The 13,192-nt window shown below is 40.0% G+C and overlaps 2 protein-coding genes across 9 annotated transcripts in view; one reads left to right on the top strand and one right to left on the bottom strand.

Annotated features, from left to right (window-relative positions):
• TRIM37 (tripartite motif containing 37) overlaps positions 1 to 12,128 on the top strand; it is a 139,680-nt gene extending 127,552 nt beyond the window's left edge. For all 5 annotated transcript variants that reach the window (XM_047436110.1, XM_047436107.1, XM_047436111.1 and 2 more), the window contains one exon: positions 9,230 to 12,128. In XM_047436110.1, coding sequence (XP_047292066.1) covers positions 9,230 to 9,299 — 70 coding nt within the window. In that variant the 3' untranslated portion in view covers positions 9,300 to 12,128. The remainder of the gene's footprint in view (positions 1 to 9,229) is intronic.
• PPM1E (protein phosphatase, Mg2+/Mn2+ dependent 1E) overlaps positions 1 to 13,192 on the bottom strand; it is a 229,326-nt gene that overhangs the window by 5,851 nt on the left and 210,283 nt on the right. For all 4 annotated transcript variants that reach the window (NR_048561.1, NM_014906.5, XM_047435630.1 and 1 more), the window contains 3 exons: positions 9,602 to 9,790; positions 7,054 to 7,197; positions 6,404 to 6,497 (listed from right to left, as the gene is read on the bottom strand). Coding sequence is in view for 3 of the 4 variants with exons in the window: in NM_014906.5 (NP_055721.3) it covers positions 6,404 to 6,497; positions 7,054 to 7,197; positions 9,602 to 9,790 (427 nt within the window). In the remaining variant the exon portion in view is untranslated. The remainder of the gene's footprint in view (positions 1 to 6,403; positions 6,498 to 7,053; positions 7,198 to 9,601; positions 9,791 to 13,192) is intronic.

Here is a 13,192-nt window from a genome sequence, read left to right as displayed (position 1 = left end):
CAACCCACTTGGCTTTCTATTTTTTAGTGGTGCTTTACCTGTAACTTCTAGAGAACAGACAAAATGTATGGCCATTTTTCTCTTATATTTAGAGACTGCCATATTCTTCATATGGCTCTGCTCATCGCCCCACTTCTGTCTTTATTGTTATTGTGCATTTCCCCACTCATTAACAACTGTGAGAACCCAAGGTCTTTCTGGGCCTTTCTCTCTTCCTTTTCTTGCTTAGCTTCGTCCTCTCACAGAATGACATCTGAGCTGGTCCTGAAGGGTAAGTTAGTTATCACCAGGCAGAGAAGTTGCCTCAATTGAGGGAACAGGATAAGCAAAGGCAGAGGCAACTGTTAGGGAGTAATGTACAGTTGGAGAGTAGGGTGCTTGGGGTAGGAGCGAGACTGCAGACCTTGGGACCACACTAAACTAGGTTTCTATCACCAGACTACTGAGATAATTGATCATTTAGGGCTTTCAGATCCAGAGCACTTCCAAATCCATTCATTGTTTACATTGATTACATTCCTTTAGGTACCTTGTGAGAGTGCAGCAAAAGGGTCCTTAGCCTATGAGGTAACCAAATAGCTTATGACTACAACAAGGGACTCTCAATTCACTTTTTTATTTTTATTTTTATTTTTTGTCGCCCAGGCTGGAGTGCAGTGGCACAATCTCGGGTCACTGCAGCCTCTGCCTCCCAGGTTCCAGCAATTCTCCTGCCTCCGCCTCCGGAGTAGCTGGGATTACAGGCGTACGCCACCACACCTGGCTAATTTTTATATTTTTATTAGAGACGGGGTTTCACCATATTGGCCAGGCTGGCGTCGAACTCCTGACCTCTGATAATCTGCCTGTGTCGGCCTCCCAAAGTGCTGGGATAACAGGCATGAGCCACCGCATCTGGCCTCTCATTCACTTCTTTACAAAAAAATAAAAACAAAACCACACACAGGGTACTGAGCAATAATTCCTAGAGTAGGGTATCATAAATCATCATTACATAGTATTATAAAAACAAGAAATAAACTCCAGATATTTACAAAGGGCTTTACTGTATAGCAGTGGCATATTGCTTAGTGGTTAAGGACACCAGCACTAGTGTCAGACTGCCTGGGTCCAAATCCTAGCTCTTCTACTTGTCACCTACACAACTCTCATCAATTACTATCCTTTCCATTGCACTAAAACCGAACTTTTTGACTCAGGGAATATTAAAATGAAGATAAACTCACTTGAGTAATCTGACTATATATTCATTATTTCTAGTATCTGTTATAGGTTCTCTTTGACACAAGAAAGTTGGCCAGGCGCATGCCTGTAATCCCAGCACTTTGGGAGGCCAAGGCGGGAGGATACTTGAGGTCGGGAGTACGAAGCCAGCCTGGCCATCATGGTGAAACCTTGTCTCTACTAAAAATACAAAAATTAGCCGGGCCTGGTGGCATGCATGCAAAGTCCCAGCTACTCAAGAGGCTGAGGCAGGAGAATTGTTTGAACCCAGGAGGCAGAGGTTGCAGTGAGCCCAGATTGCGCCACTGCACTCCAGCCTGGATGACAGAGGGAGACTCTGTCTCAAAAAAAAGTTTCTTTCCAACATTTAACATCCCTGTTTAATCCTCAAATAGGCTAGAAAGCTCATTAGGAACCCTATGGATAACTCTGCTAGAACCAATGTGGGCACATGCCCTATCTAGCAGGTTGCATGATTAGATACACAGAGCAACAAATAATTAATATAATTACCTGAGTTAGTATATCTATTAGGTAAGAAATTAGTCTTCGACATTATAAATGTTCATTTCACTCCTTCCATTCACAAACACAACCTCTCATCTTACTCATATCTAGGCTCTTCTCCATTCATTCATTCATTATTTCTTTTTTTTTTTTTTTTGAGACAGAGTCTCACTGTGGCCCAGACTGGAGTGCAGTGGTGTGATCTCAGCTCATTGCAACCTCCACCTCCCGGATTCAAGCAATTCTCCTGCCTCAGCCTCCCAAGTAGCTGGGATTACAGGCACGCACCACAATACCCAGCTAATTTTTGTGTTTTTAGTAGAGACAGGGTTTCACCATGTTGGTCAGGCTGGTCTTGAACTCCTGACCTTGTGATCTACCCACCTGGGCTTCTCAAAGTGCTGGGATTCTAGGTGTGAGCCACCGCGCCCAGCCCTCATTCATTATTTCTTACAGGAGTCAAAACCATCTTTCCCAAGCATGCTTTTGATTTAATCAACTTCACTTATATGCTAAGGTGCCTCCATAGCCTGTTAGAGCTCATTAAAACTCAATCTATTTAAGCAGAAAATGCAAAAATTTAAAAGATATTTAAAAATAAATAATAAATAAAATCCAATATGGGATTCAGTGTCCTTCACCAATTTACTAAAGTTCCCATCCCCTATTCTACCTGACTATATGATTATCATCATTATTATTTTTTGAATTCCGCCTCTAAAAATAAATGTGATCTGAGTCACACTGTTCCCAAAAATCTTGTTTTAGTGCTTCAATTAAAAGACTGCTGCAACTGTTAGTTTGGAACAGAACATACAAAGATTTGTACAGAGAAAATGCTGCCAAAGTTCTGGCTTTTCACCTGCTCTACTGTTGGGTGTCAAATTCATGACATTTCGCCCCCAAATTTGGTAGGAGGGCATGAATATCCATTTCATCGTAGAAATGGCAACATCCTTTTGTCTTCAACCTCTTCTCTCCATATGTTAGGAAACATATCATGCCTCTGTCAACTTTGGATCATAAATCTGAAGGGCTCATGGGGAGAAACTGTTGAAAACCTTTTCATTTTTATAAGTATCATTTCTTTCCTGAGTAGAGCTGAACTCTGCCCAGGAGTCCTTTTTCTTGTCCTTTTGCAGCCCCCCATTTTATTCCATGTGGTTTCCAATTCTTTCTCAAATTCTTCAACTCCCTCATCCACTTAAGCTACTGGATTTTGGTAAATGGCCTAATTTCCTACTTCAAAGACAAGTTGATCAGGCTTGAATTTTCTCAATTCCCCTCCCACCCTTGCCACACATGCACTGTTTAATCTGTAGAGATTCTCCCATATCAGCTACCATTTTCTCAGGGTAAGCAGTGTCCTTTTCCCATCCTAACAGTGAGCCTGTGCTGCTCTGGCTTCTCTACTCTCTCGTCTTCAATTTCTCCTCTACTTGCTCTCTTCCTTGTCCTACAAACATGCTCAAATCTAAAATCTCCTCGTCCTAAAAATAGAAACAATAAAAAGGAACCCTTTCCTGAATCAGCTTTTGCCTTAAGCCACCACACTATTTCCTTTCTCCCCTTCACCATCAAACTGCCCAAGAAACTAAATCTACACTTGCTCCTTTATGTTACTGCCTATTTCCAGTGCCAGATTGTTTGTTGATTAGTAGGTTTTCCCACCAACCAATCCATCTCATCAGTTGATACCCTCCTCCATATTCCTTTTTAGCTCTCCTCATCTCTGTAACAAACTGTATGAATGTCTCCCAGCCAGGCTCTTTCTACTCTAGCCCAGCTTCCATACAAATATCTTTATAAATACAAAGCTGACCCTGTGGCCCCTCTGCGTATTCACCTGGTAAAGTCCAGACTACTTAGCCTCGCACATAAGGCCCTTTGCAATCTGGCACCAACACTGCTAATCTACCACTCCCATCTCTGCTCTAACCTCCTGGACTTGTTGCTTTTCCTAAAACATGCCATGCCTTTTCAAACCCCTGTGTATTTATATTTCCCTCTACCTGTGTAGGGATTTCCTTCCCAGCACATTATCCTCCACATTCAACTCAAAAGTCACTCTATGTATGAAGTCTCCCTTATCCACTCTTAGATTGTTTATTTTTTATTATTAAAATAGAGATGAGGTATCACTATGTTGCCCAGGTTGGTCTCAAAATCCTGGGCTCAGGCATTCCTCCCTCCTTGGCCTTCCACAGTGCTGGCTGCCATACCCAGCCTTTTCTCTGAGATTGTCACTTATTAAGGGACATTCTTCCCTGCTTTGGTTTTCCCTTTTAGAAGAAGAAGCTGGTATTCTCTATTAAGTTAGTTCTGTAACAAGTATTAAAGATGATCCTCAATCCTCTGACAAAGGTCAGATCAGGAGAAATAGGTGTTTGGTTTGAGTTGTAAACCTAATTCACTGGCCACTCAAGCACTCATATAATGATCATTAACGTAAATTGGTTCCACAGATAGTATAGTCCTCTGGTTCGGTGATTTTCAGTCAAGGGTAGCATTTGATGGGTAGTGGGTCCTGCTAAACCTACAATGTGCATGATAAAGACTTTTCCCCACCAATAATAATAATAATAATTCCATATAAGGGTATATTTTAGAAATGAGACATTTCCCCTTTTTGGCCTTATTCTAGAGTTCCTAATAATTCCCTCCAGTCTAAGGTCAAGCCAAATCTCAATTTTTCAGGAGGTATTTGTAGACTCTTTTAGCTATTTCTCTTTCAGCTTTCTACTCATATTTGGGCCACTTCACAGCTTGCTAGCACCTTCCCAAAGAGTGGGAGGAACTCAAATCAGTGGTGAAAGCTAAATCCTTTCAGATTTTCTTCATGTTCTGGAATTTTTGGTAATTTTTAACTAAATTTTGAGACTAGATGTGAATTCCAACCATGTCTAATTACTTCATTTCTTTAGGGAAGCAGAGATTAAAAACTGCAGTATACATGTAATGTACATATCACCCATATAGATATACATATTGATTTATTCTTTTTTAAAAAAACAGGAAGTGAAGCTAAGCCATGAAGCCTAAAATAATAAACCCAGGGCCCAAAGTGAGACAAAGACAGAAATAGCTTAATTCTTTGAACTTATACCCTTGTATTTTGTCCAGCCAACTTAGCTGTTTAATCTCTACGTTTTAGACCGAGTTTCATTGACTTTCCCTTCTTTTGAAAAATTTAAGTCCCAGGGATATAGGGTTCTTTGAAACTCCAGGGTTATCTGACAGGTGACTGTATTCCACATACAGAAAGTAGTTTTCATATAAAAAGCACAATGCTTTTCCTATCAACTTATTCTGTTATTTATGTCATTTTAAAATTCATGGAAATAATTTAGAGGCATAAACAAAATGAATGTGGATAAAATACGGAGAAAGGCTTCCATTCTCTGAAAAATACTGATTTGACCCAAAATGCAATGAAATGAGAAACACTATGATTTTTTGTTTTTGTTTTAAGACAGGATCTCACTCCCTTGGCCCAGGCTGGAGTGCAGTGGCACAATCTTGGCTCACTGCAGCCTCAAACTCCTGGACTCAAGCAATCCTTCCGCCTCAGCCTCCTGTGTACTAGGACTACAGGCACAAGCCACTACGCCCAGCAATTTTTTTTTTTTTTTTTTTTTTTTTTTTTGAGATGGAGTCTCGCTCTGTCGCCCAGCCTGGAGCGCAGTGGCGCGATCTCGACTCACTGCAACCTCCGCCTCCCAGATTCAAGTGATTCTCCTGCCTCAACCTCCCAAGTAGCTGGGACTACAGACGTGTGCCACAACACCCAGCTAATTTTTTATATTTTTAGTAGAGACGGGGATTCATCGTGTTAGCCAGGATGGTCTCCATCTCCTGACCTCATGATCTGCCCACCTCAGCCTCCCAAAGTGCTGGGAATACAGGCGTGACCCACTGCGCCCGGCCTTTGTTTTTTTTGTTTTTTGTTTTTTTAAGAGATGAAGTCTTACTATGTTGCCCAGGCTGGTCTTTAACTCCTGGGCTCAAACCCTCTTCAGCCTCCCAAAGTGCTGGGATTACAGGCGTGAGCCACTGTGCCTGTCCCAACCACTGTGGTTTGAAGCAGATTTGGGTACTGATTAAAGGCTTCCATAAAATTTTAAATGTATAGAAACTAGAAAATTCTGCATTTCTTGATATGGTTCTCTTTTTTTTTTTTTTTGAGACAGTCTCACACTGTCACCCAGGCTGGCGTGCAATGGCGCGATCTCCACTAGCTGCAACCTCTGCTTCCCAGGTTCAAGCAATATTCCTGCCTCAGCCTCCCAAGTAGCTGGGATTACAGGCGCCCGCCACCACGCCTGGCTAATTTTTTGTATTTTTAATAGAGATGGGGTTTCACTATGTTGGCCAGGCTGGTCTTGAACTCCTGACCTCGTGATACACCCGCCTCGGCCTCCCAAAGTGTTGGGATTACAGGCATGAGCCACTGAGCCTGGCAGTTCTCTTTCAATAATGGAATTTAAGTATATAAATGTACAGGTTTAACTAAATCAAACAATTAAAAGAGACGTTATCCAATTATTATTTTAAAGAATAATAAGCATTCTGGTAACATAAATTATCATCTCAGGTTCCCTGTATCAGAGTTGATACAGGAGAATGAGCTAGAAGAGGACAGTTTGGAGAAACAAAAATTTGTTTTTCCTACCAATAGCTCTGGAAACCGACAGACTTCCATTCACCCTCCAGGCACCAAACCAGACTACGCAACCTCCAAGGGCCTCAATTCTCTGCTTTTCATCCTAAACAGCAATGCAATAAAAAGAAGCAAATAACTGGATTCAGGATTTATTCATTTACTTTAACAGTAAACAACAGATATAATACTCATCAGCTCATGAAAAGGTTCTCTTTGTTTCTCCATTGGAGGGTGGGCACAGTTGCTGATGTGATAGCAATAATTGTAATAATTAAGTGAATCCTGGCCGGGCGCGGTGGCTCACGCCTATAATCCCAGTACTTTGGGAGGCCGAAGCAGGCAGATCACCTGAAGTCAGGAGTTCAAGACCAGCCTGGCCAACATGGTGAAACCCCGTCTCTACTAAAAATACAAAAATTAGCTGGGCGTGGTGGCACATGCCTGTAATCCCAGCTACTCGGGAGGCTGAGGCAGGAGAATCGCTTGAACCCAGGAGGCGGAGGTTGCAGTGAGCCAAGATCACACCATTGCACTCCAGCCTGGGCAACAGAGTGAAACTCCATCTCAAAAAAAAAAAAAGTAAGTGAATCCTAATCAATAACTAGAAAATCTAAACTAATAACTAGAGCATGGGCTCTATTAAAACAGACCATACTTACCTCTCTGTCTGGTTTGTGTGGCTTCATTAGTTCAACAGCTTGGCCCTTTCTCACAAGCATAACCTGGGAATCACCCACCCAGGCCACATGTAGCATGTTGCCTCTGATGAAAGTCACCACTCCTGTGGTCCCACATCTTAAGCTCTGAAAACAGTTTAAATAAAACTAGACTCAGTGAAAAGAAATAGATACTACATTCTTATTGAGAAGCAATTTATAATTAAGCTTTTCAGCTGGGAGCTATACTATTAATAATGGAATTTCACACATATATAATAATTCATTGTCTCAATGCATTTGTATATGCATGTATGTATTTATGTGTATATACACACATAAGTCCACCTGATCTGTGATATGCAGGGCGAGGATGATTATTAATTCCACTTTAAATATAGATAAGAAAACTATGGCAGGTTATGTGACTTGCCCAAGGGCAGGTAACTATTAGTATATAAGACAGAATTGAAATTCTTTTTCCTCCCAGTCAAGCACTAAATCCTCTATACCAATCCTCAGAGTAAAAATTTCTATATTCTGCTCTCCATTTCATTACTGACATCGTATTTGTTCAGTGGGAGAGTCCTAGCTGTATAAAATGATATATAAAACATCTGATTGGTACACAACAGATGCTCTAATCTCTGGAAATTAAGCTAAGGGGCCAAGAGACAGCTTACGTTCCCTGGAGTACTAAGATGCTTATACCTTTAAAAAAATATCCTTCCTACAGTATTTTTAGGGGTCTTTGCTTTTGGAACATTGCATAAAGAACTAACAGCCTGGAATTTCACTGCAGTAGCTACGACTGTACTTAAAGCTCTTGGTCCTACTATACGAAAATGACATCCCCATTTGACATGAGTCACCACCAAATGAGCATGACTTTCTGTTACTAAGGACCTGGCCTAAATTAGAACCAATGCGTCAGGGGTGGTAAAAGGTCTCTTGTATCCAATGAGAAAAACAACTTCTCGTTTTCCCTATATAGGGAAAGTTTGTTATAAATCCTCACCCACCAATAAAATGTCTTCCCACACAGAATGTTCAAAAACTCAGCCCCCTAGAACACATGATAAACACACTTCAGTGCATATGCCCTGGAGAGAACAGGAGGCAGGGCTGCTTCATAACAGGAATAGCTGTTTTCTTCCCAGCAGTTAGCAGCACATGGAAGCATAAGAAGGAGAAAAGGGGCGCTGAGACAAACCTAAATTATTCAGAACTATTGGCAGAACTGAGAGACACCAGGGTCACTGACAAAACAAATGAGGTAAACATGGTCAGAAAACAACAACAACAACAACAACACATAATTTTGAGAAGACAGAGGAAAAAAAGAATAGAATAGAGGATGAAGAAGACAGAGTGAATCTCTTTGTTTCACATTGATGATTACGGGTCACCTCTCAGGGGCCGGCCCTTGTCCTCGACTCAGATGATAAAAGCCCACAGCTTCAAGAGAGGCAGAGCCAAGCAGAATGCAGGTCCTCAAGAGACTGGAGCTCTGAGGTCAAGAGTGGCTTTATTCTCCAGACCCACCTCTTTGTGTGGACTCTACTGGTTACTGTTGGATTTGCATATTAATCCAAACTTAGGGGAGGGGAGAGATGAAGAATAATTCTCTTTCTTAATACCAAATAGGTCTGAGTTATTGTTTCATTAATTCTAAGCCCCATTATTGCTTGTAGCATAACTATGCTATCAAAAAATGGATTAAATGATTACCCTGATCTCTCCAAGCCCATTTTAAAAAGAGTTAATGTTTAAGTCACAGGGCAGGAGTCTTATTTTTTGTCTGTATCTACTTCTGTAATTATTTTTAAAAATTAAAAATTCTTTTATTCGTCCCCAGTTAAAAATCCAATATAGAACACTGTAGTTAATTATGTACCAATACCCAGAACGATAATTAGATTAATTTTTTTACTTTTAGACCTTAATATAGAGCCCTTGCCATTTATTCAAAGTAAAAAAAACTTAGGTCTGATTAACCTTCGCAATGTAGGACATGAGCTCTTCTTTTCTCCCTATTAAGAGAAAAATCAGCTCAAGGATCATTTAAGGATTCACCCTCTCCAAGCGAATTTTCCCTCAAGAGATACACAGCAAAACACTGCCTACCCATTTAGAACCAAATGTATGGAAGTAATCCCAGTTTCTGTTTCTTTTTTAGACCATTGTTTTATTCACCATATCCAGATCTTGTCAGCAAGAGTCTGCTTAGAGAGATGGTCCTGGTGTGAACCTGACAGGCAATGGTGAATAAAAGAAAGATGAAACTCACCTGCCAAATCCAGCAGTTATTACAGAAATGAATCCAGAAAATTACAGCTTGAGATTTTCTATACAGTACCTCATTGTACCCCCTGAAACTCTTCCTGAGGAGGGAATTGGAACTACAACAGAATCCAATACTGTGAGTCAAGAATACAGTTTGGATAATGTCTGCCCAGAAAGAGAAAATCTAAATAGCCCTTTAACCACACAGACCAAATTGAGCTCAGCTAGTACATTTCTAGCTGGAACTTATGAGAAAGGGGCATACCTCCCTGGCTGCTTTCTGCACAAACCGCTCATCAGTGACCCGGAAGGCCCTGCACAGGGCCTCAGCAGGATCATGGGGGAACATCTCCTGGCGGACTAAGTTAACGTGGAGGTGAATGGAGGCATAAATAGCAGCATCTACTCCCCCATGGCCATCAAACACTGCAAAGTAAGCTTGTTCTTCCTGGTCCTGTCAACAGAAACACAGAACAGTTATGGGAGTTGGGTATAGCATGATTCAAATGAACCAATCTCCTGGCATCATTGTTGCCCATCCTTTCTCCTCCACTGCATTTGTCATTCAGAATAATGAGACTAAATGTTTTCCTTCTCTAACATGCCTGATCAACTGCTGAAATACCTGCAATATTAGGGTATCTGTGTTTACACACCAGAACACTGGAACATGTCATGCCCAATTAGCTCAAGCTGAAGTGCCCTCTCTCTGTGAAAGTTGTTGTCTTGTACCATGGAAACCACCCACGTACATTTGCTTCAAAATTGCTGTTACAAGTTGGGGGAGGGGGGATAGGGAGGGTATGAGAAGGAATTGAACAAAAGCAGCTCCAGATTGAGTGATTTTTTTCAAAATGAAAGTACTTTAATAGCAAAATTAGAACCTGAGAACAATAGAAAATAACTGGTCTTCCAACACAAGGCCAATTAAATCAAGTTTAAAATATATAAAGATATGAAAGCATAAACATACTTCTAAACTATAATACCTTCTTCATAAATCATTCCCAGTCACACTGCATTCTCACCACAAATAGCACAGCATCTCTAAACTAGTTTACCAAACTTGAACCACATCAGATGCTCAAATGCCCTGTGCGGCTGACCACTTTGCCTCACCCCATGATCTAAGATTTTAGTTTCACATTTCCTTGCAAAGTAAACTGCCAGAGGAGGATCTTCCAACCCTGTGCTTTGTCTTGACAAAAGCCTAATCATAAGATTCCACATCAACCATTAAGCAGTTTGCTGCTTTATCATCTGCTCAAGTGTTTAAATCTCAGATCTGTCTCACTTAGGAGATCTGTGACGCACTGAACTCGCACTGAGTCCTGAGCTCCCTTCAGGCAACAGTATGTAATAATTTTCATTTGCAAGTCTTTTGACTTCTTTTTCTGTTCTAAGAGCCTTAGAGGAGTCCAGGCCTGTCATTGATTCTTAAGCAAATCATGTAGTTTTCTCATCTGTTAGGCAGGGACGAGTTGCTGTCTCATGGGGATTTGGAAGGGCTACTAAAATAACAAGTATATCTGTACTTTGAAAAAGTTCTTTTTATTTATTTATTTTTGGAGTCAGCGTCTCACTTTGACACCCAGGCTAGGGTACAGTGGCATGATCACAGATCATTGTAACTTCGAATTCCTGGGCTCAAAGGATCATCCCGCCTCAGCCTCCCAAGTAGCTGGGATTACAGGCAAGAGCCACTGCACCTGGCTGAAAAAGTTACTTTTAAAAGGGTATATTACATTCACAAAAGTATCAAATATAAATGTCCATAGAATAATAACCAAAATGTTATGAAACCTTTGTCTAACACACACATTACAACTAGTTCTTTCAGCAACTTTAATGACATGAAGGACGGATTAAACAACTCTCTAGAAATAATCCTGGCCGGGTGCGGTGGCTCACACCTGTAATTCCAGCACTTTGAGAGGCCAAGGCGGGCAGATCACAAGGTCAAGAGATCAAGACCATCCTGGCCAACATGGTGAAACCCTGTCTCTACTAAAAATACAAAAATTAGCTGGGTGTGGTGGCACGCGCCTGTACTCCCAGCTACTCGGGAGGCTGAGGCAGAAGAATCTCTTGAACCCGGGAAGCGGAGGTTGCAGTGAGTCGAGATCGCGCCACTTCACTCCAGCCTGGAGACAGAGCGAGCGAGACTCCGTTTCAAAAAAAAAAAAAAAGAAATAAAGAATGCTGACAGGTAGAATTTCTATCCCTACTAAAGCAGTACTCATTTTTAAACAACTCGAAATAGCACCACAAGAAACAAAAGGAAGCTAAGTGGATTTCTTAAAAAAATAAAAAAAGGATAGCTTCTTTTTAAAAAAACACAAAACATTCACTGATGTTTTCCCTATTATAATAATGTATGATAATTTAGACTAATAACAAAGGAAATATCACTAATAATTCCACCATACACAGATAACCAGTCCTCCCTCCCTCTCTCTCTCTCTCTCTCTCTATATATATATATATACACATATATATAAATGAAATTAGGATCAGAATGTGCATGACATTTTATAGCCTACTTTTCGTCATTTTTATTATTGGCATTTCCTCATCGCACTAAGATTTATTTAAAGACATTGTTTTAAATGGCTTAAAATATGCATCTTATATGAGCATATCATAGTTATCATTCCCTTTCATGATTTAGATAATTTTCAATTTATTATAAACAATGTTGTAAAAACATTTATGTCAAACAAAACACATGCCTAAGACTTTTCTGCATTTCTATTTTCTTATAATAAAGAATTAAAAGTGAAATGACCAGATCAAAGAGTGTGAAAATTTATTAGGTTCTACATATGTGTTGCCATATTGCTCTTAAAATCTATTTCACTATAGCAAGGTTCTCCTTTCTGAGTTAAGTCCTTTGGGCTAATTTTGAAATTAGGAGGCAAAACAGAAACCAAGGAAGTCAACGAACAACAACAATGCCCCAAATATGAGTATAATCTTCAAGTAGGTATAGTGATATAAGGATTGTTTATCACACAATCCTTCTGGGTTACATTTGCATGGCCATGGTACTAGAAACAAAGACATCAGCTGATCTATCTTTATAACATAAACACCAATTACCAACCTGCCATCATTGCTGATTAGACCTTGACAGCTAAAATGTAAATTTAGCTGCTAAACAGAGGAAATATTGTGCTTTGTATAAATTACTACATTGTAATTTTTAAGTTATGGACTTGAGTGAAGAAAAGAGGCAAGTGACAGGCAAAGAAAACAAACCTACTTGTTTGCATTAACATAATACATTTAATAGAAAAAGAAAAGAAAGATAACAAGAAAATAGTTATTAAGCTGCCAAGGCTCATATAGATCCAATTTGTCAGATACAGAGATTTATGAAATATAATTCCAGCTACTTTCCTATCTCAGAGACCAAGATTTTAAAAAGAAAATCACATGAAATAAACTGCGTCAGTCTTAAATCTTCCTTTTGTGTTTGTGTTGCTTCAGCAACATAGTAATGTGAGAACTTAATACACCATTTGATTATACTATAGAAATAGTTTGGGTTTTTTTTTTTTTTTTTTTTTTTACAAAACTGCTTTATTGAGATATAATTTTTTTTAATTGTTTTTTCTTTTCTTTCTTTTTTTTTTTTAAGAGACAGTCTCACTATGTCTGTCACCCAGGCTGGTCTCAAACTCCTGGTCTCAAGCAATCCTCCCGTATCAGCCTCCCAAAGTGCTAGGATTACAGGCGTGAGCTACCACACCCAGCCTAATCATTTTCTTTTTTGCTTATATGTTTATAGAATAGCTCTGGAAGGTGACACAAAAGACTACCTTGCCTCCATGGAAGGGAACTGAGTACCTGG

Source organism: Homo sapiens, chromosome 17 (assembly GCF_000001405.40).
Source record: "Homo sapiens chromosome 17, GRCh38.p14 Primary Assembly".
Classification (NCBI taxonomy): domain Eukaryota; kingdom Metazoa; phylum Chordata; class Mammalia; order Primates; family Hominidae; genus Homo; species Homo sapiens.
Note: the sequence above shows the minus strand (reverse complement) of the source record. Positions and strands in the feature narration are given on the sequence as shown.